At 38.9% G+C, this 24100-nt stretch overlaps 1 protein-coding gene across 3 annotated transcripts in view; it reads left to right on the top strand.

The window, feature by feature from the left end:
• Positions 1-24100, top strand: part of GXYLT1 (glucoside xylosyltransferase 1) — a 63030-nt gene that overhangs the window by 9383 nt on the left and 29547 nt on the right. The window contains exons 1-3 of one of the 3 annotated variants that reach the window (XM_017019211.1): positions 5639-5733; positions 7264-7446; positions 16321-16492. In XM_017019211.1, coding sequence (XP_016874700.1) covers positions 16352-16492 — 141 coding nt within the window. In that variant the 5' untranslated portion in view covers positions 5639-5733; positions 7264-7446; positions 16321-16351. Of the gene's footprint in view, positions 1-5638; positions 5734-7263; positions 7447-16320; positions 16493-24100 lie in introns of those variants that run through there. The other 2 variants (NM_173601.2, NM_001099650.2) reach the window with 2 other exon arrangements.

Here is a 24100-nt window from a genome sequence, read left to right as displayed (position 1 = left end):
ATGTTTTCAGTTCTCTTGAGTATATACTGAGGAATTTAATTGGTGAGTCATGGTTGCACAACTCTGAATATACGAAAAACCATTGAATTACACACTTTAAAAGGGAATTATGCTTGTATTATTCTGCTTTGCTTTGTAACAACCCCATACATCTAAACAGTTTACAATAGCAAGCATTTATTTCTTGCACACATTACATGTCTATGGCTATGACTTTGCTTGATATATCTTCTCATCCTGGGATCCAAGCTAAAGGAGCAATCCATACATTGGATATGCCTGGTCTTGTGGTAGTGGATGAGCAAGAAGCCAGATTGAACAACACAGTCCCATTTGAAGCTTCTACTTTGATGCCACAGTATCATGTCTTTTTATATTATTTTGGCCAAAGCAAGTCACTTGAATAAGGTCAAAGTCAATAAATGATGCAGGGATATATGCCTCCCTTATCAGGCAGGCAAGGCCCATGGTAATGAATAGGGTTGTATAATCCTTTTACAGTTAAATGTGGGGAGTGAATAACTGAACAGTAATACAGTCTACTACACAAATAGAGATTGCCAGTTAAGGAGAAAGAAAGACTAATTGATGCAAGAAGGTCTTTAAGGACTCCTGAGAAGAAGATGGGCAACAAGGGGAAGCATATGGAGTTGGTAATAGGTATGAGACTAGCTAAGGGGAAGACAATTAATTTATATTTCTACTAATCAGCATAGTCATGTCATTAACTGTTCTTCAGTATTCATCTGAGAATGTGAATGAACAGCTCAGTTTCAACTGAAGATTGTGCTGAAAAGGTACGGTGAAAGAAGAAGGTGGAAGTTTGCAGGTATAGGAACATGAATGGATGAACCATATGATGTAGTCTGAGTAGGGAGGGAAATGGGTAAAGCAGGGAGCTTATACTTAGGAAGCATGTGATTGGAGGGCTGAGTGATTTCCACACATGTAATGGGATATAAATAATAAGCCTGGGCAACAAAGCAAAACTTTGTCTCTACAAAAAATTTTTTAAAAATTAGGCTTGGTGGCACATGCTTATAGTCCTAGATACTTGGGGACTGAGGCAGGACGATAGCTTGAGCCCAGGAGATTGAGGCTGTAGTGAGCTGTGTTTGTACCACTGCACTCCACCCTGAGCGACAGAGCAAGACCCTGTCTCAGAAAAAAGAACCATAATTATTAGATCAGAGACTAGTCTGAGATGAGGTATTGGATTGCAGTTTCTGACAGGGTCCAGGATTTGTCATTTTTTTACTTTTTCTTCTCTCTCTCTTTTTTTTTCTTTTGTCAGAGAGGGTCTCACTCTGTTGCCCAGACCTGGTGTGCATTGGCATGATCACAATTCACTGTAGCCTCAAACTCCTGGGCTCAAACTATCCTCCTAACTCAGCCTCCCGAGTAACTGGGACTACAGGCACACACCACCATGCCTGGCTAATTTTTTTTTTATTCTTTGTAGAGATGGGGTTTTGCCATGTTGCCCAGGCTGGTGTTGAACTCCTGGGCTCAAGCGATCCACCCACGTCGGCCTCCTAAAGTGCTGGGATTACAGGTGTGAGCCACTGTGCCCGGCCAGCATTTGCCATTTTTCACTGAAGGGAAAAGGAGGTAAGAGTTACTGGATTTAAAGAATTGTGTAACCTGGGTGTTGGTTAGGTCTCTCACCTTGCAGTATCTGAAATGACATTCTGTTACTCCCCACTAGACAGTATGATCCATGTCCATTTTACTCACTATAGTGTTGCCAGTGTTTGGCCTGTGTAGGTAGTCATTCAGTAGAAAATTTATTGATTTACCAAATGAATGGTTAGAGGAAAGTAGGATTTGGTACTGAGACGAGGACTGTGAACCGGATGCTAGTTTTCTGTGAGTTGGGGAGGAACCAGTAGGTTGGTAGATCAGAATGGTGTGGCATTGTGGCTCTTTTACATGGCTAGCAGTTGATGCTGGCTTTTGACTAGGAGCTCAGTGGAGGCTGTTGATCTGCATTCTCTCAAGTGGCTTCTGCATGTGCCTTGGGCTTCTTACAACGTGAAGATCAGGTTCAAAGAGTGTTCCAAGAAATAGGATGTGGAGCTCTTAAGGGAAGGGCCTGGACATTGGTACAGTATTATATTCAGTATTCTATTTGTCAAAGCAATCACAGAGCCCACTTAGATTCTGGATAAGGGGAGTTAGATCCTACTTGGTTGGTTGGTTGGTTGGTTTTTTGAGACAGAGTCTTTCTCTGTCACCCATGCTGGAGTGCAATGGAATGATCTTGGCTCACTGAAACCTCCGCCTCCTGGGTTCAAGCGATTCTCCTGCCTCAGCCTCCTGAGTAGCTGGGATTACAGGCAACCGCCACCACACCTGACTGATTTTTTTTATTAGAGATGGGGCTTCACCATGTTGGCCAGGCCATTCTCAAACTCCTGACCTCAAGTGATCCGCCTACCTTGGCCTCCCAAAGTGCTGGGATTAGAGGCATGAACCACTGCGTGCAGCAGATCCTACTTATTAATAGAAGTGTCAGATGTGTGATCATCCTTAATCCACCATACTTGGCACCTAGTTTGGTACTAGCAGAAGTGTAGGGCTCTTGGTGTGGCTCAAAGCTTCACAAAATTTAAACTCGTTACTGAGTTGTTCAATATGTTGGTCTTGTTGAATTTAATTCTCATGTCTGTGGCTTCGTCATCTTGCATCAACTTAAAAAAAAAAACAAAACAAAAACATTGCCCCCAAATACAGTTTAATTGTAATACTGCAAGAGGGTCTTTTGAGTTAGAAGCTCCCTGGTGGATATTTCCTGAGAACAGGGAGTTTGAGGTGTGCTCTCTAGCTCACGTGGGCGTTTTCTTGAGACTAACGAAGATCAAGTAGTTTCAGCAACTTCTGCATGTTGGCAACATACACGTTAACTTTTCTAGTCAAATATTTGTAGGAAGATATTTTTGAAATATGGGGTAGTAAAGATACGAAAATGTTAATAGTGGTGGGTAATTTGTTTCTTAGGCTTTAAAAAATTTTCTAAACGGTACTTAATAAAATGTATTGATTGAAGTATTCGTAGAAACACAAATTTTCAAAATTTAATCATTTTTAAGTTGGAGTAAACAGGATTATCATAAGAGAAATGATCAGTACTGCGATAAAAAAATTTCAAGCTGACTCTAGTTATTCCTTGATACACAATGTTTCTCATTCAGGTCTGATTTTAAGACTTATCTGCGGATATTGGTGAAAAATTCAGCTTTTTAGGCCACTTCTCTGGGGAGTCTTGATTAACTGGGTATGGGATAGGATCCTATATCTGTATTTTTAACAAGTGACCTGAGGACCAGGCAGGTTTGGAAAACAACACATAACTGATTTGTTTTGTAACTTAAAGTACAAGTTGAGGCTGCAAATGGTATTGTTAAATATATATAATTTTAATTAATTTTATAGAAAAATTGAATTTGTTTTTGAGATTTCTATTTCCATGTTTCACTGTTGTAGAGTTTGACAGGGGATATGGAATAACCTGATTAGTTATCGTCTTCGTAGAACAAAGGTACACATTAGGTGTTGATTGTAAATAAATTGTGCATTTGTTGAAATAAAGCTGTGCTATCATCTGTATCTGAAAGACGGAGATCATACCTACCTTAAAACGTTTCTAGTGAGTCTAAATGGGTGTGAAAGTGCTTGAATCTGAAAATAACTCTGTTAGTTGTTATTACCATCAATGAGTCTGACTGTGTGGTATGAAATCAAAGACTTAAGAAAATACATAGCCATGCCTGAGAGGGTACAAACACAGATTTTCTAATCAAGTCATAAGTTTTACCGATACATACACATTTTCTTCTCTTTCTGGTTCAGCCTTTTAAATGAAGATATGTAGCCTTTTGTGCTATGCTAGAATGTGGTGTCCCTTTAGAGGAAAACAAAGTTATAATGTAACTTTTTTCTGTTGGTTAAGAAATTCCAACCTTGTTCTTTATGCAGTAGTATACACAATTACTTAGGCAGCATTTTAAAAACCACCAGTGCCAGACCGTTTCTAGAGATTCTGATTTAATAGGTCTTGTGTGGCACCCTCTACCAGGGCTAAGAACCCCTGCCTTAGACTGTTGCCATTTGTGAGAGATGTGATCAGATTTTTGCAAATCAGAAATTTCATAGACCATTTGATATAAGCACAGTAACTCATAATTGAATTCATAATGAGAGAAAACAAAGCTGCATAGTGATGAGATAATGAAGTGACCTGGTTTAGTGACTCACCCTGACTTCATACATACTTTAGTACCCAGTGACTTTTAGACTATTATTTTGAAAAGAAATCACGATGAAAAACAATTTTTTTGTAATGTAAGGTGTTTTCTTTTTTCCGTTTTGGCTCCAACATGCAACCTAACAAGAAAGACCAGACTTGATCTTCCATTTTAGCTTGTATAATATGGAACTGAGATTATGTAGATAATGATACTAGGCTGTGAATATCAGCATGATTTTCGGGTTTTTTTGGGGCAGGGAGGGTGGTTAAAAATTTTTTTTGTTTTTGTTTGAGACAGAGTCTCTTTTGCTGTGTTCAGCCAGGCTGGGGTGCAGTAGCACAGTCACAGCTTATTGCAACATCAAACTCCTGGGCTCATGCCATCCTCCCACCACAGCCTCCTGAGTAGCTGGGACTTAAGGTAAATGCCACCATGTCCAGCTAATTTTTTATTTTTAGAGACGGAGTCTTGTTATGTTGACCATGCTAATCTTGAACTCCTAGCCTCAAGCAGTCTACCTACCTCAGCCTCCCAAAGTGCTGGGATTATAGATGTGAGCCACTGTGCCTGTCTGTGTATGTGTGTATGCATGTGTGTATATGTATGTATATATACACACAGCAGTGGGGTTGCTGGATCATATGGTAGTTCTATTTTCAGTTTTTTGAGGAATCTCTATATACTGTTTTTTTTTATAGTGACTGTAGTAATGTATGTTCCTACCAGCAGTGTATGAGTGTTTCCTTTTCTCTTCATACCTTTGCCAGGATTTGTTTTTTGCCTTTTTGATAATAACCATTTTAACTGGGTGAGATGTTCTCTCATTGTGGTTTTAATGTGCGTTTCCCTGATGATTAGTGATATTGACCATTTTCATATACATCTTGGCTGTTATGTTTTATTTTTCAGTTTAAAACACCATACAAGTAGTTTGGATTGAGGATTAATTTAAAAGCATTTAAAGATCTTCTTTTCCCTTTCTGCCAGTATTGGTGGCATTTTTATTATGTTTGAGGATAAGCAAATATTTTGTTTGTCCCAAAGGGATTTTGTTCTAGGGGTATATGTGTAGCCTGTGAAGAAAATTTTAGAAGACATATTTGTCTGTGTTATCTGAGGAGGGGATTTTATCAGGAGACTCTCCGACGGAAACACTGTTTCCCAATCTATAGTATAGTCTACCTTCAGGGTTTTAAAGTTCTATTTAAAATAATGGTGCCCTAAGTAAGGGAGAAATCAGTTTTCCAAAATCTTTATCATAGCAATTTGGATTTATAATTTTATTTGCTTTAAAATAGAACAGTAAGTTATCGTGTTACTGAGTAAATTCCTTGTTAGTTCCAAACCAAAATACTCACACAGGACTCTTATTTCTGTCTTACTCTGTTAGGTGTAAAGATTTCTCTCTGTGTTACTGGAATCCCTATTGGATGCTGCCCTCTGATGTTTGTGGAATGAACTGCTTTTGGGAAGCGGCTTTTAGGTAGGCACTTAATATTTAATTGGTAGATCAGTGTAGATAAGGTTAGATAGTTGATAATAAAACCTTTGTAATAGGATGTAAGAATGTTTCTTATGATATTATACAAATAATTTATTTTCTTATTGGGTTTTCTATTTTTCCCATTTTGTAGTTGTTATTGCTATTTTTTAGTACATACTGTGTATAAATGCTTTAAATTTTCTTAGATGTTATTAAGACAAACCACTGTTCTTAAGAGAATTTATGATCTAACTTTTGGTAACAGTTGATAAAGTGATAAACTAGGATAAAAATAGGCTTCTACTGACGTTTACAGATATATCTATATATATAAAATATGGCATTTATCTAAAAGCTTGTGTACTATAGTGGATGGGGACAACTGGAGAAGGATTATATTCGTTATTAGTAGAGAGATTGAATACTGGGAATAGGAGGATAAAGATAAGTATTTAATGGAGGAGCAGATGGAGGAGCAGCTCCTGGCTACTTCTTCCTTTAATGTTTATTGACCTTTTAAGTTACTGACTAGTTCGGCTTTATTCACTTCTCTGGATAATGAAGGTATTGGGTACTCTGACCTCTTAGGTCCCTTCCTGCTCTAATCTAGAATGAAAGAAACAGGTATTGATAAGAATACGATAAGGCAGTGACTCTCAGACTATCTCCCTGATACAGTGGCAGAGGAGAGTGGGGCAAAGGTTTGAAATGCTCTTCCCAAGAGTAAAATTCCTTAGAAGAGTATCTATTTACTGCGTCTTTATGATTCATTTAAATAGTCTAGGTTGGGTATGGTGGCTCACGCCTGTAATCTCAGCATTTTGGGAGGCTGAGGCGGGAGTATTGCTTGAGCCCGGGAGTTCAAGACCAGCCTGGGCAACAAAAGCAAGACCCTGTCTCTACAAATTTTTTTTTTAAATTACCCAGGCATGGTGGCATGCGCTGGCTTGGGTGGGAGGATTGCTTGAGCCGTGGAGGTTGAGGTTGCAGTGAGCTGTGATGACGCCACTGCTCTTCAGCCCAGAGCAAGACCCTGTCTCAAAAAAACAAATAAAATAAATATTAATTCTACTCATTATATTTGCCACACGCTGTGCTAGGTGGTAAGCACTGGACTCTTGGGTCAGGTTAATTGTGGCTCCATCCTTTTGGAGCTTACGTTCTGATGGGAGTTTCACACTAGTAAACCTGAAATTACAATAGAGTGTGACAAGTTGTTGCTATGATGAGTCATCTTAAAGCATCAGGGAAGACTTGGAGGGAGTGACCAGATGATGATCTGGAAATTAGCTAGTTTCAAGGACAGGAGGTGAAGTGTTTGAGATAGGAAGAACTTCATTTTTAAAAACTTTTAATTAAAAAATTTATTTTTAATTGACAATAATTCTATGTATTTATGGGGCATAAAGCGATGTTTTGGTGTCTGTATATATTGTGGACTGATTATATCAAGCTCATTAACATGTTTATCATCTTACATATTTATCTTTTTTTTGTAATGGGCACATTTAAAACCTATTCTCTTCGCAGTTTTGAAATAAACATAATTATCTGTAGACACCTTGCTGTGCAGTAGATCTTGAGAACTTATTCCTTCTGACTGGAAGTTTGTATTGTATTCTTTGGTCAACATCTTTCCATCACATACTCTCTCCCACCCCTTCACCTCCAGTGCCTGGTAACCACCATTCTCCTCTCTGTAAGAACTGCATTGTAAGTATCTATTAATTGTACATATTTGTAAATTCTTGCATTCTCAATACAGTATGCATCCCATGAAGAACTGGTGGGGAATAGGTTCAAATCAGATAGTTTAGTTATATCCTGTTGCTGTGGAAGAGATTGGGTGATTGAAATTTTAATATGAGCCAAGTAATATTCCAGCTTTTAAAAATTAACTTTTAAAGATAATCTAACCTTTCAGTTTGGTTATACTTTTGGATAATTGAAGTTTTGTATGTTTTCATTCTTACGAATATTTGCAAATGAATATAGTATTGACAAGAACCACTTTGCCTTGCCACATAATTCCACTAGCTTGAAGCTGGGTAAACTTGAAAAGTTCAGCATACTCTGATTTATACAACCCAGACCCTTTTGTAAATTACAGCGTGAGTAATAATAATCTTTCCTCCTTACTGACTGCAGGAGTGTCCCAGGGAAATTTACCTAGTCGGAATCCTGGACTCTCTGCTTACCATTCCTTTTGTTTTGGCTCCTCTAACTCATTTTCCTAATGCTCCCAAGTATTCCGTGGAATAAATCATATGTGGATGGATACATAATGTTGTAAGCCTTGTGCCTGTAACCTAAATTTGAGACTTCAGAAGTTATATGCCTTTCCTCTGTTATACTTTCTACCCGTAATATTGCATCCATTATATCATGCTATTACATTTAAAAAAAGCAAACATTTTGTGTCATATAATTATGTAAAAATTTCTCAAACTTAGTTTCTTATTTAGAACTAACGATTCCCTCACATTTAATCACCCTATTTCAAATATGCATACAAGCCCAAATGCCATACAACTGCCAAATCATTCTTGCCCTCCATCTCAGTATCTACTTTAATACTGGTAAAGCTTCTTTGGAATTCCCCTTTACTACCACTTTTGATGTCACATTCTGCCTGGCACCAGGGGGCCCTTAGTTGGGTACCTTACTTTCCCAACTTGAATTATTTGTATAACTTTGATCAAATATTATTTGGGTGATCATATTCTCCCAATTAATTTATTATACAGTGAACATAATATAAAAACTAAAATGGCCTCAACTCCTATTACAAGTGTTTTCATCATTCATATCATCATATGCTTTTACATAGTTGTGATTCTGGTGTAGACTAATCTTGAATTTTTTTTTTTTTTTTTTTCTTGAGACAGGGTTTCACTGTCTCCCAGGCTGGAGTGCAGTGGCATGATCTTGGCTCACTGCAACCGCTGCCTCCTGGGCTCAAGCGATTCTCCTGCCTCAGTCTCCTGAGCTGGGACTACAGGCATCTGCCACTGCGCCCAGCTGTTTTTGTAGAGAGGGGGTTTCACCATGTTGCTCAGGCTGTTCTCAAACTCCTGAGCTCAGGTGATCTGGCCGCCTCGGCCTCCCAAAATACTGGAATTACAGGCATGAGCCACCGCCCCCGGCCTAATCTTGAATCCTGAGCTTAAAATTTTAATACTTTTCAGTGTAGTATGGTCTTCATATTTCTCATGTCAATGGCAACACACTATTCCATTGCCTCTCAAAGTGCTGGAATTATAGACATGAGCCACTGTGCCTGGCTTTATGTCTTTAAAACAAAATCAAAAATCCCTGCAACAGTTTGTTTTCAATCCTCTCTTTCCCTTCATCAGCAAGCTTCTTTTGAGTACCTCCCTACTGGCTGGAGGGGTGTGGCTCACGCCTGTAATCCCAGCACTTTAGGAGGCCAAGGCGTGCCGATCGCCTGAGGTCAGGAGTTCGAGAGCCAGCCTGGCCAACATGGTGAAACCCCGTCTCAACTAAAAATACAAAAATTAGCCAGGCATGGTGGCGCGCAACTTTAGTTCAAGCTACTTGGGAGACTGAGGCACGAGAATCGCTTGAACCCGGGAGGGAGAGGTTGCAGTGAACCAATACCACACCGCTGCACTCCAGCCTGAGTGACAGAGTGAGACTCTGTCTCAAAAAAAAAAAAAAAAAAGTTCCTACTGGTTTTGCTTCTGGGTTTTGTTTGGTTTGTTTGTTTTTTTGAGATAGTCTCACTTTGTCGCCCAGGCTGGCGTGCAGTAGCACCACCAGGGCTCACTGCTGCCTGGACCTCCTGGGCTCAAGTGATCCTCCTGCCTGAGTCCTCTAAGTAGCTGGGACTACAGGTGCATGCCACCATAGCCAAATAATTTTTTTTTTTAATATTAGTGAAGACAAGGTCTCGCTGTCTCGCTATGTTGCCCAGGCTGGTCATGAACAACTGAGCTCAAGTGATCCTGCTGCCTTGGCTTCCCAAAGTGCTGGGATTACAGGCATGAGCTACTGTGCTCAGCCTTGGTTTTACTTCTTTTAATAAAAAGAACTTCACACCTCAGCTGTCTGCCACCTGACTCTTACTGTCATCACCCCACCTCTGAATTATTGTTCTGGGGCTTAATTTTATTTCTCTTACCCATTTGACACTGTTTACTACTTCCTTTTTCTGTCAGCTCTGTTAGCCTCTGGCTTTTGAGACCAGACCAGTTACTCAGCTCTTTGATCTCTCTCCTCCTGGACTCCTCTAACGCTGCTTTCTAAATGATCTGCATTTCTTAGGACTCTGCTCTTTTCTCTCCCCATTCCCTGAATAGTCACAGGATAATTTGTTTAACTGATAGCTCCAATTCAGAGTTCTTTTCTGAGAGCCAGACCTGTATTTCTAGTTGCATATTGGTCATTTTTACCTTTCTGATTCAAATGCCTCAGAGACTCATGTTCAAACCTGAACTCATGCTCTAGCTCCTCAGACTTTCCTTCATCTGTGTTTTGTATCATGTTTACAACGGACTTTCTCCACATGTCAGTCTACATTAACTCTTCTTGTCTCCTTTCACACTGTTGCTCCTGGCTGCTTGCTTCCTTCCTTCTCCCTTAACCGTTGTACTCATCATTTCCCAAACAATTATAGTCTCCTCTCACTGCTCACTTCATCTCCCTTCTCTGTCTCCTCTTGGTTATTGTATTTACCGCATTTGTTGTGACTGTGAATCTTCATCCACTTCTAGACCGTTAACTCTGCAGGCTGATACCATATGGTGTTATCATTTAAGTCTCATGCCTAGCAAGGTGTTTGGCAACCAGTGAGAAACAAATGATTAACAGGATCATTTGTCTGGGAAGCTTTCCCCAATACCAGGTTAGATGTTTGCGTTGTGAGCCTCTTTAGCAATCTCAGTTTTTTTCTATTAAAACAATTACCATGCTTTCTTATTCTTTTAAAAATCAGTCTTTTCACAACAGGCTACAAATTGTATAAGGTGAAGATTGTGGCTTTCTTGCCTACCCCAGTGCCCATATGAAAGGAGTTCAAATATTTTTTAAAAAGAATGAATTATATCACTAAATTGTGTTTTAAAAATTATATGGCTGTAAGCCTGCACCAGCATTGTGTGAGTGTACTTGGGGTCATCATAACCTTAGCATTATTGGGAATTATAATTTTATCACTTATTAAAATGATAGCTTTTTGTTGATTATTTGTTGAATGTATTTCCACATTTAGTTAGCTTTTTTCTTTTGTTCTGTATATCATCTATTTGATATTGATAGTTATCTATTGAATTTTTAATGTTTATTTTATGAACTCTTAGAATAATATGTTCGGTTTTGCCATTGATTGCAAATAAGTTTCTAATTTGTTTTTTTATTTTACTTTCATTATACAAACTCTAAATTTTAGAATTATCAAAATATCAGAAATATTTTGTTTTAATGTACTAATTTTTCTATGACTTTAGTTTTTAAAAAAATCAGTTCTTTAAAATATTGAATCTTCTTTATGGTGGGAATTGATTTTAGATTTGTGAATTCTGTGGTCATAGGTGAATTTAATATTAGCTGTATTATTTTGAGTAGTTCATACCAGTTTTAAGAGATATATTTTCACTGGTTATTTAAAATTATATTTTAGAAGTTAATACTTATATTTCATGTTGGATTTTTAGATTTTTTTAATGCTTTATATAAAAATCCTAGCTTTTTTTTTTAAGTATTTTGTTTTGAAAGTGTTTTATATGTAACTCATGAAAGTAATTTTGCCTGGTATGATAATTTAGCACAACTCTTTTTTTTTTTTCTTTCTTTTAGTCCATTATGTGTTGCTGGGAACAACTCTTTTAATAGTAAGAGAAAAAGGTGTTGTTTTTCTTTTTAAGCATAACAGGTTAAGCAAAAAAGCTTTCCATTTTGTTCAACTGCAAGTTTTTAAAGATAGCTTCATGGCAGTTCTTTTTTAGTTTTAGTAGATGGTTATTTGAAATTTAATTGTTTAATTTGACTTTATATACTTCAATGGTAGTTTGTAGTCTAATTATGTATCTCTTTAAATAGGGAATACTAATTTAATAATAGGCTATAAGAACACACTGGAGATCATACTGTGAAATAAAACAAAATCAAAAAAGTTATTATGATTCCTTTATAGCAGAAATTTACTTAAAATAAGAAGTCAATTCTTAAGACTTAGAAGTTTATTAACAGTATTTGCATCTAAATTTGTTATGTAAAGCATTCTTTTTTTATGATAAACCCCTACCTCCTAAATTTTTACTTTGATAAATTTCAAATATGCAAAGGTTACAAGAATAGTACAGTAAGCATACCATACATTTTTTACCTAGATATTTATTATTAACATTTTACCACTTTTCTTTTTCTGCCAAACCATTTGAGAGACAGCAGGCATTAGGACACACCCCTAAATACATAGATTCAGCATGTATCTCCTAAGAACAGGGACATACTTTAATACAGCCATAATTGTCACTTTAAGTTATTTAACACTTTATAGAATATATATTCCTATTCCTATTTTCTTATTTTCCTGTTAATGTCCTTTGTATCTTTTCCTCCCCATTCAGGACCCAGTCAAGGACCATACATTGCATTCAACTCAGGTTGAGTTAGTCTCCTTTATTCTAGAACTGTTCCCCAGCCTTTTTTGGGGTGAAAAGGGGTGCTGTTATTGGTATCTTTTGTGATATTTTTGTTTTTGTTTTGCAGAATGTCCCTTAATTTTGATTTGCCGACTGTCTACTTATTATTAGATTCAGGATTTTTGGCAGGATTACTGCATGGGATATTGTGTTCTTCTTTGGGCATGCTATCAGGAGACATTTGATGCCTTAAGTTTTAATATTATTAAGTTTGATCACATGGTTAAGGTGATGTTCTTGCATTTCTACACTGTAACAGTGCTTTTATCTCCTTTATAATATATGGGGGAAATATTTTGTTAGTACGTAGTTTTAGCATCCACTGATTATTTTTGTCCAGATTATCTGTTACAATGGTGATTGCAAAATAGTGAATTTTATAATTCTCTCATTTCTTCTGCATTTATTGGTTGGTATTCATCTTTAAAAAAAGAAGAGTTCCCTCTTCTTACCCCTTTATTTAATATCATTTTTTGACGATGTGTTCACTTTTTATTTATTTTTTTGAAAGAGTCTCGCTCTGTTGCCCAGACTGTAGTGCAATGGCATGATTCCAGCTCACTGTAACCTCTGCCTCCTGGGTTCATGCAATTCTCCTGTCTCAGCCTCTCGAATAGCTGGGACTACAGGTGTGTGCCACCATGCCCGGCTAATTATTGTATTTTTAATAGAGACGGGGTTTCGCCATGTTGGCCAGCCTGGTCTCAAACTCTTGACCTCAAATGATTCACCCACCTCGGCCTCCCAAAGTGCTGGGATTACAGGTGTGAGCCACCGTGCCCGGCCAGGGTTCACTTTGTAAATTTAATACACTATCATTCATTACTGTCATACTTTTCATACTCAGGTTATGCCAGCTTTAACCATGGGAACCCTCAGATATTATCTTTGAATCATCTGACGAATTTCTTCTAATTGTATATCTGTAGAAAAATAGGCTTGACTTTAAAATCTCCTCTTCTATTACATTTCTTTAAATCCAGATGGACTTTTCTTTTGTTCATATTGTGACCGAAAGAAAGATTTTTGTAGACCCTGGCAAGATTCCGCCATTCAATTGGGGCCAACATTATTTGAATGACTGCTTCCCTGTAACTGCTTAGAAGGTTTTAGTTATCACTTCCTATCATATAGAAGCTTACTTTAGATTTTTTTCCAGTTGCAATTGATTTTCCTGTCTTTTGGGTCTAGGGGTAGGGTGGTTGTCAGAGACATCTTTTAACCGTGTTTTTTGTGGTCAGTTTAGGAGTTGAGCCTGTACTGTATATAATACTTTCACTAAAAAGGATCCCAAACAGAAGAGGAAATGTGATGTAGTTGACAGTACTCCTGTAGAAATTGGTGAAAGGAGTGCTGGCAGTGTGACCAAAACAATCCTTGCTGAAATACCTGGGAGGAGTTCCTGAGACTGATTTTTAGAGGGATTTTTTTTTTTTTCCTTGAGAAACATTTGGGTATATTATTATTTAAGACATCGCCCAGCACCCAGGCTGGAGTGCAGTGTGGCATGCTCACAGCTCACTGCAACGTCGGACTCCTGGACTCGAGCAACCCTCCTACCTCAGCCTTTAAGTAGCTAGGAGTACAGGCGTGCATCACCACACCCAGCTAGTTTTTTTGTGTGTGTGGATACTGGGTCTCGCTGTGTTACCCAGGTTGGTCTCAAACTCTGGGCCTCAAGCGGTCCTCTCAACTTGGCCTCCCAAAGTACTGGAATTACAGGTGTTAGCCACCATGCCCGGCCTTGAGGCTAATGTTTCTTTAGGTTTAATATACTTCTTGTCTGTGTATATAGCTGATGCTCTACAAAACAGCATATGACTATTATGCCTTACTTTTAAAATCTTCTCTTGGCCTTTGACTTTGGGGCAAGATCTAGCTATGGGCCAGTAAAGCAATCCGAGCCTGTTATTGATTCTTAAATCATGATGCTGTAATGACAAGTAGGATCTGGAGGCAGTTACTGGAAAGATGAGGTAATTTAGAATTCTCTAAAAATTGTCATGTCTTGATTGCCTAGTTTTTAACTTGTCATTGTGGCTTCCACTGTTTTTGAGATGAACTGGATTCATGTCCCCTCTTTATAGACGTAGAAAGAGTAGAAAGTCTCCCCTCCATCATTAGTTTCAGTGTTATGAACTGATGGGCTCAGCACAAAAGAGGGCAAAGGACAGAGGGTACAAACAAGGGAAGAGACATTGCTTCTTTCTAATTACAGCCAACAGAAAATAATAGAGAGCTTTAAAAAGACCCAAACTGGCCAGGTGCGCTGGCTCATGCCTGTAATCCCAGCACTTTGGGAGGCTGAGGTGGGAGGATCCCTTGAGGCCAGGAGTTCGAGACTAGCCTGGGCAACATAGTGAGACCCCATCTCTACAAAAAATAAAAAAAAAGATTAGTTGGACATGGTGGTCGCACATCTGTGGTCCCAGCTGCTTGGGAGGCTGAGATGGGAAGATGGCTTGAGCCTGGGAGGTTGAGGCTGCAGTGAGCTATGAATGCACCACTGTACTCCATCATGGGTGATAGAGTGAGACCCTGTCTCTAAAAAGAAGGAAAAAAAAGTAAAAAGACCGAAGCTAATGCTAACACCAGACGTGAAAGAAGTGGCACAGCAGAAGCAAGAGGTATTAAAAGTTACTTAAGCCTGTTGGTATCCACTGCTGCACTGTGTTAGAAGTAGATTCTAAAGACATACTAGTGTTTGACTAGCATGTTTTAGACCATCTCAGAAGTGTTTACATCTTCCTAGATATTTGGTAAATGGGAATGAATGTGTGTTATTAATGTGAAGGACATTTTTTCTTGTAGTCAGCATGGTTTAAGATTGAATGTAATACTGAAACATTTATGGATGAAATTATGACTGGGTTTGCTTTACAGTGAACTGTTGGTTGGTGAGAGGTGGTATGGGGAGAGGTTTCATATGAAGTAAGAATGTTTTTAAGGGTTTTTTTTTAATAACAATGTTTTTAAAAAATTGAATGAAAGACCTTCAAATCTATCTTTCTCAATGGGTTCCTTGAGAGAGTTAAGCTCTGATTTCCTAAGGCATCTAATGTGAGTAATGAATTAATTTATTTACTGGCAGCCACAGTGGTGCTAGTTATGTATTCTTGGGAGAATTGAGAAAGTTGTCATTTTTTGTGTGTTCTGTAGTTTGAAAGGAGGAAAATTGGTGAGAAGAGCTGGTTGAGAGTGTGGAAATACGTGATTGATTCAACATTTTTAAAATGTTTTGTAATTTGATGTTTGCCCTTTTCTTATTTTTTAAATAAATACATTCTTTTTTTTGAGACAGGATCTTGCTCTGTCTGGAGTAAAGTGGCACAATTACAGCTCACTGCAGCTTCTATCTTCTGGGCTCAAAATATCCTCCCATGTCAGCCTCCTGAGTAGCCGGGGCTACAGGTGCATGCCACCACTCCTGGCTAATTTTTGTATTTTTTGTAGGGATGGGATCTCGGTATGTTGCCTAGGCTGGTCTTGAACTCCTGGACTGAAGTGACCCTGCTGCCTTGGTCTCTCAAAGCTCTGGGATTACAGACTTGGCCTAGTTTGTTTTATAAATAAAAATTTTGAACTTCAGTTTTTCTTTCTTTCTTTTTTTTTTCCTTCCCTCCCTCCCTTTCCCTTTGCCTTTCCCTTTCTCTTTCTTCTCTTTCTGTCCTTTCTTTCTTCTCTGTCTTTCACAGGGTCTGGCTCTGTTGCCCAGGCTGGAGTATAGTGATGCAGTCATAGCTTACTGCAGCATTGAACTCTTGGTTTCAAGTGATCCTCCTGCCTTAGCTTCCCGTGTAGCTGGGACTGCAGGCATGAGTCACAACATCTGGCTTTGAGCTTCACTTTTTGAGCATGATGAAAGTACACATTGTAAACATATACTAAAACTGTTGAAAAATGTGGTTTTCTTTCCTATTAGGTACAGTCTGAAAATACAGCCTGTTGAGAAAATGCATCTAGCTGTAGTTGCCTGTGGTGAAAGACTGGAAGAAACTATGACCATGTTGAAGTCAGCTATCATTTTCAGCATCAAACCTCTTCAATTCCATATTTTTGCTGAAGATCAGCTACATCATAGCTTTAAAGGCAGAGTAAGTATTTGAGACATAGTCAAGGTTGTAGAGTTGAATATTTAATAATATACTATAATAGAATGTTGTTGTAATAGTCTGTTCACATTGCTAGAAATAACTACCTGAGACTTGGTAATTTATAAAGAAAAGTTTAATTGACTCACAGTTCAGCATTGCTGGAGAGGCCTCAGGAAACTTAGAATCATGGCAGAAGGCAAAGGGGGAAGTAAGGCATGTCTTACATGGCAGCAGAAGAGAGAGAAAGAGAAAGAAGACCACACTTTTAAACCATGAGACCTCATGAGAACTGATGGTTATCACAAGAACAGTAAGGGGGAAACGGCCCCCATGATCGAGTCATCTCCCACTAGGTCCCTCCCTTGACACGTGGGAATTACAATTTGAGATGAGATTTGAGTGGCAACACAGAGCCAAACCATATCAGTTGTTTTATTTCTTAATTGCACAAAAATATTTATTCTGTAACACTGCCCTTGTAAGTGGGGAGTGCTCCTTGAACCACTTCCATCTGAGTCCAGATCTAACGTGAAAGAGGAAGGTTCATTTTTGAACAGCAGTGGGCTACTTAAAAGTAAGTTCTTTGTCAAAAATGGAGGTTTTATTTTAGTGACTCTAGTTCCAGGATGTTTAGTCATAGGACTGAGAAATCCTATGATTTATTTTGTCTATATCCTTTCCTTGGGAGTGCCTTAATCAGAGCTTATATAAAGGTTTTAATCCTGTTTTGAGAGGAGAGAATTCTTGATTAATAATATGGCGGGAAGTGGCTTCTGGTTCTGATAAGAAAGTTATTTATTTTGGTTTTGTATTAGTTAAAATCAATTTGGCAGCAGTGGCAGAAAACCCAAAATAACAGTGGCTTAAACAGGATTGAAGTTTATTTCTCTCTCCCATAAAAGTAGGTAGTCTGGATTATATGGCAATTCTTTATCTTCAGATACTCTGGCTTCGTCTTACTGTGGCTGAGCCATCTTTAACATGAGGCTTCTGCTTCATGGTCCATGATGACTACTCAGACTCCAACCATTGCACCCATATTCTATTCAGAGAGGGAGTGAAGAAGGGCAGTATCCTTAAGGGTACTTTCTAGAAGTCATTGTGACATTTCTGCCAGTATCCCATTGGTCTGAATTTAGTCATATGACCATGCCTAGCTGTTACAGTGGAATATATACTCTTTAATCAGGTCAGCCTTGTAAGTTCCTTAACAACAACAACAACAAAATATTATTGTACAATAAGAGAACAGATAGAGGCAGAAGAACATATAAGAAAAAGAAAACTCACCTGAAATCTCACTACCTTTTGTTCTGAGATGGTGGTAAAGGTGATGCTAATGATCATTCATATTTTCTCTTTCCTCCCTCTCTATTGTCTGTTTACATCTATCCACTTAATTAAGCTTTTAAATTCATTTGGATTTTTATGCTTGGTCTATGTAAAAAATATATTTGATGTTTTTTTCAGGTTAAATCAGTTCATTTTGCATGTCAAGTGCAAAAATACTAATTATGAGCTCAGATCTTTCAGTTTTCTGCCAAAAACGTTTATACTTTTTGGCAGAAAACTAAAAGGTATAAAAGTTTTCTTACTGTTATAAGTGGTATATGAAAGTATACCTTCTTACTGTTTAAAAATATTTTTAGTATCTGTATTTTTGTTAGATAATTTTATGATCTTGATCTCTTTACCTGGATTTTTTTTTAAATTTTATTATTATTATACTTTAAGTTTTAGGGTACATGTGCATGATGTGCAGGTTTGTTACATATGTATACATGTGCCATTCTGGTATGCTACACCCATTAACTCATCATTTAGCATTAGGTATGTCTCCTAATGCTATCCCTCCCCCCTCCCCCAACCCCACAACAGTCCCCGATGTGTGATGTTCCCCTTCCTGTGTCCATGTGTTCTCATTGTTCAATTCCCACCTATGAGTGAGAACATGTGGTGTTTGGTTTTTTGTCCTTGTGATAGTTTGCTGAGAATGATGGTTTCCAGCTTCATCCATGTCCCTACAAAGGACATGAACTCATCATTTTTTATGGCTGCATAGTATTCCATGGTGTATATATGCCACATTTTCTTAATCCAGTCTATCATTGTGGGACATTTAGGTTGGTTCCAAGTCTTTGCTATTGTGAATAGTGCCACAATAAACATACATGTGCATGTGTCTTTATAGCAGCATGATTTATAATCCTTTGGGTATGTACGCAGTAATGGGATGGCTGGGTCAAATGGTATTTCTAGTTCTAGATCCCTGAGGAATCACCACAATGACTTCCACAATGGCTGAACTAGTTTACAGTCCCACCAACAGTGTCAAAGTGTTCCTATTTCTCCACATCCTCTCCAGCACCTGCTGTTTCCTGACTTTTTAATGATTGCCATTCTAACTGGTGTGAGATGGTATCTCGTTGTGGTTTTGATTTGCATTTCTCTGATGGCCAGTGATGGTGAGCATTTTTTCATGTGTTTTTTGTCTGCATAAATGTCTTCTTTTGAGAAGTGTCTGTTGATATCCTTCGCCCACTTGTTGATGGGGTTGTTTTTTTCTTGTAAATTTGTTTTGAGTTAATTGTAGATTCTGGATATTAGCCCTTTGTCAGATGAGTAGCTTGCAAAAATTTTCTCCCATTCTGTAGGTTGCCGGTTCACTCTGATGGTAGTTTCTTTTGCTGTGCAGAAGCTCTTTAGTTGAATTAGATCCCATTTGTCAATTTTGGCTTTTGTTGCCATTGCTTTTGGTGTTTTAGACATGAAGTCCTTGCCCATGCCTATGTCCTGAATGGTATTGCCTAGGTTTTCTTCTAGGGTTTTTATGGTTTTAGGTCTAACATGTAAGTCTTTAATCCATCTTGAATTAATTTTTGTGTAAGGTGTAAGGAAGGGATCCAGTTTCAGCTTTCTACGTATGGCTAGCCAGTTTTCCCAGCACCATTTATTAAATAGGGAATCCTTTCCCCATTGCTTGTTTTTGTCAGGTTTCTCAAAGATCAGATAGTTATAGATATGCGGCATTATTTCTGAGGGCTCTGTTCAGTTCCATTGGTCTATATCTCTGTTTTGGTACCAGTACCATGCTGTTTTGGTTATTGTAGCCTTGTAGTATAGTTTGAAGTCAGGTAGCATGATGCCTCCAGCTTTGTTCTTTTGGCTTAGCATTGACTTGGCGACGCAGGCTCTTTTTTGGTTCCATATGAACTTTAAAGTAGTTTTTCCAATTCTGTGAAGAAAGTCATTGGTAGCTTGATGGGGATGGCATTGAATCTATAAATTACCTTGGGCAGTATGGCCATTTTCATGATATTGATTCTTCCTACCCATGAGCATGGAATGTTCTTCCATTTGTTTGTATCCTCTTTTATTTCATTGAGCAGTGGTTTGTAGTTGTCCTTGAAGAGGTCCTTCACATCCCTTGTAAGTTGGATTCCTAGGTATTTTCTTCTCTTTGAAGCAATTGTGAATGAGAGTTCACTCATGATTTGGCTCTCTAGTTGTCTGTTATTGCTGTATAAGAATGCTTGTGATTTTTGCACATTGATTTTGTATCCTGAGAATTTGCTGAAGTTGCTTATCAGCTTGAGGAGTTTTTGGGCTGAATGATGGGGTTTTCTAGATATACAATCATGTCATCTGCAAACAGGAACAATTTGACTTCCTCTTTTCCTAATTGAATGCCCTTTATTTCCTTCTCCTGCCTGATTGCCCTGGCCAGAACTTCCAACACTATGTTGAATAGGAGTGGTGAGAGAGGGCATCCCTGTCTTGTGCCAGGTTTCAAAGGGAATGCTTCCAGTTTTTGCCCATTCAGTATGATATTAGCTGTGGGTTTGTCATAGATAGCTCTTATTATTTTGAGATACGTCCCATCAATACCTAATTTATTGAGAGTTTTTAGCATGAAGCGTTGTTGAATTTTGTCAAAAGCCTTTTCTGCATCTATTGAGATAATCATGTGGTTTTTGTCTTTGGTTCTATTTATATGCTGGATTACGTTTATTGATTTCCATATGTTGAACCAGCCTTGCATTCCAGGGATGAAGCCCACTTGATCATGGTGGATAAGCTTTTTGATGTGCTGCTGGATTCGGTTTGCCAGTATTTTATTGAGGATTTTTGCATCGATGTTCATCAAGGATATTGGTCTAAAATTCTCTTTTTTGGTTGTGTCTCTGCCAGGCTTTGGTATCATGATGATGCTGGCCTCATAAAATGAGTTAGGGAGGATTCCTTCTTTTTCTATTGATTGGAATAGTTTCAGAAGGAATGGTACCAGCTCCTCTTTGTACCTCTGGTAGAATTCGGCTGTGAATCCATCTGGTCCTGGACTTTTTTTGGTTGGTAAGCTATTGATTATTGCCTCAATTTCAGAGCCTGTTGTTGGTCTATTCAGAGATTCAACTTCTTCCTGGTTTAGTCTTGGGAGGATGTATGTGTCGAGGAATTTATCCATTTCTTCTAGATTTTCTAGTTTATTTGCGTAGAGGTCTTTATAGTATTGTCTGATGGTAGTTTGTATTTCTGTGGGATTGGTGGTGATATCCCCTTTATCATGTTTTATTGCGTGTATTTGATTCTTCTCTCTTTTCTTCTTTGTTAGTCTTGCTAGCGTTCTATCAGTTTTGTTGATCTTTTCAAAAAACCAGCTCCTGGATTCATTAATCTTTTGACGTGTTTTTTGTGTCTCTGTTTCCTTCAGTTCTGTTCTGATCTTTGTTATTTCTTGCCTTCTGCTAGGTTTTGAATGTCTTTGCTCTTGCTTTTCTAGCTCTTTTAATTGTGATGTTAAGGTGTCAATTTTAGACCTTTCCTGCTTTCTCTTGTGGGCATTTAGTGGTGTAAATTTCCCTCTACACACTGCTTTGAATGTGTCCCAGAGATTCTGGTATGTTGTGTCTTTGTTCTGGTTGGTTTCAAAGAACATGTTTATTTCTGCCTTCATTTCATTATTTACCTAGTAGTCATTCCGGAGCAGGTTGTTCAGTTTCCATGTAGTTGAGTGGTTTTGAGTGAGTTTCTTAATCCTGAGTTCTAGTTTGATTGCACTGTGGTCTGAGAGACAGTTTGTTATAATTTCTGTTCTTTTACATTTGCTGAGGAATGCTTTACTTCCAACTATGTGGTCAATTTTGGAGTAGGTGTGGTGTGGTGCTGAAAAGAATGTATATTCTGTTGATTTGGGGTGGAGAGTTCTGTAGATGTCTATTAGGTCCGCTTGGTGCAGAGCTGAGTTCAATTCCTGGGTATCCTTGTTAACTTTCTGTCTCGTTGATCTGTCCAATGTTGACAGTGGGGTGTTAAAGTCTCCCATTATTGTGTGGGAGTCTAAGTCTCTTTGTAGGTCACTAAGGACTTGCTTTATGAATCTGGGTGCTCCTGTATTGGGTGCATATATATTTAGGATAGTTAGCTCTTCTTGTTGAATTGATCCGTTTACCATTATGTAATGGCCTTCTTTGTCTCTTCTGATCTTTGTTGGTTTAAAGTCTGTTTTATCAGAGACTAGGATTGCAACCCCTGCCTTTTTTTGTTTTCCATTTGCTTGGTGGATCTTTCTCCATCCTTTTATTTTGAGCCTATGTGTGTCTCTGCCCGTGAGATGGGTTTCCTGAATACAGCACACTGATGGGTCTTGACTCTTTATCCAATTTGCCAGTCTGTGTCTTTTAATTGGAGCATTTAGCCCATTTACATTTAAGGTTAATATTGTTATGTGTGAGTCTGATCCTGTCATTACGATGTTAGCTGGTTATTTTGCTCGTTAGTTCATGTAGTTTCTTCCTAGCTTTGATGGTCTTTACATTTTGGCATGATTTTGCTGTGGCTGGTACCGGTTGTTCCTTTCCATGTTTAGTGCTTCCTTCAGGAGCTCTTTTAGGGCAGGCCTGGTGGTGACAAAATCTCTCAGCATTTGCTTGTCTGTAAAGTATTTTATTTCTCCTTCAGTTATGAAGCTTAGTTTGGCTGGATATGAAATTCCGGGTTGAAAATACTTTTCTTTAAGAATGTTGAATGTTGGTCCCCACTCTCTTCTGGCTTGTAGAGTTTCTGCCGAGAGATCCGCCCTTAGTCTGATGGGCTTCCCTTTGAGGGTAACCCGACCTTTCTCTCTGGCTGCACTTCCTTCATTTCAACTTTGGTGAATCTGACAATTCTGTGTCTTGGAGTTGCTCTTCTTGAGGAGTATCTTTGTGGCGTTCTCTGTATTTCCTGAATCTGAATGTTGGCCTGCCTTGTTGGATTGGGGAAGTTCTGCTGGATAATATCCTGCAGAGTGTTTTCCAACTTGGTTCCATTCTCTCCGTCACTTTCAGGTACACCAATCAGACGTAGATTTGGTCTTTTCACATGGTCCCATATTTCTTGGAGGCTGTGTTCGTTTCTTTTTATCTTTTTTCTCTAAACTTCTCTTCTCGCTTCATTTCATTCGTTTCGTCTTCCATCACTGATACCCTTTCTTCCAGTTGGTCGCATTGGCTACTGAGGCTTCTGCATTTGTCACATAGCTCTCATGCCTTGGTTTTCAGCTCCATCAGGTCCTTTAAGGACTTCTCTGCATTGGTTATTCTGTTTATCCATTCATCTAATTTTTTTTCAAAGCTTTTAATTTCTTTGCCATTGGTTCGAATTTCCTCCTGTAGCTTGGAGTAGTTTGATCTTCTGAAGCCTTCTCTCAACTTGTCAAAGTCATTCTCCATCTAGCTTTGTTCCATTGCTGGTGAGGAGCTGCATTCCTTTGGAGGAGGAGAGGCACTCTGCTTTTTAGAGTTTCCAGTTTTTCTGCTCTGTTTTTTTCCCCATCTTTGTGGTTTTATCTACCTTTGGTCTTTGATGATGGTGACGTACAGAGGGGTTTTTGGTGTGGATGTCCTTTCTGTTTGTTAGTTTTCCTTCTACCAGACAGGACCCTCAGCTGCAGGTCTGTTGGAGTTTGGAGTTTGCTAGAGGTCCACTCCAGACCCTGTTTGCCTGGGTATCAGCAGCAGTGGCTGCAGAACAGCAGATATTGGTGAACCGCAAATGCTGCTGCCTGATGGTTCCTTTGGAAGTTTTGTCTCAGAGGAGTACCTGGCTGTGTGAGGTGTCAGTCCGCCCCTACAGTGGGGTGCCTCCCAGTTAGGCTACTCAGGGTTCAGGGACCCCACTTGAGGAGGCAGTCTGCCCGTTCTCACATCTGAAGCTGCGTGCTGGGAGAACCACTACTCTCTTCAAAGCGGTCAGAGAGGGACATTTAAGTCTGCAGAGGTTACTGCTGTCTTTTTGTTTGTCCGTGCCCTGCCCCCAGAGGTGGAGCCTACAGAGGCAGGCAGGCCTCCTTGAGCTGTGGTGGGCTCCACCCAGTTCGAGCTTCCTGGCCACTTTGTTTACCTAATCAAACAACTAACTTGGCAATGGCAGGCGCCCCGCCTCCAGCCTGGCTGTCGCCTTGCAGTTTGATCTCGGACTGCTGTGCTAGCAGTGAGCCAGACTCCGTGGGCATAGGACCCTCTGAGCCAGGTGAGGGATATAATCTCCTGGTGTGCCGTTTTTTAAGCCCATTGGAAAAGCGCAGTATTAGGGTGGGAGTGACCCGATTTTCCAAGTGCTGTCTGTCAC

Source organism: Homo sapiens, chromosome 12, assembly GCF_000001405.40.
Source record: "Homo sapiens chromosome 12, GRCh38.p14 Primary Assembly".
NCBI classification, from domain to species: Eukaryota; Metazoa; Chordata; class Mammalia; order Primates; family Hominidae; genus Homo; species Homo sapiens.
The sequence above is the reverse complement of the archived record's forward strand: the minus strand, read 5'-3'. Positions and strand labels throughout refer to the sequence as shown.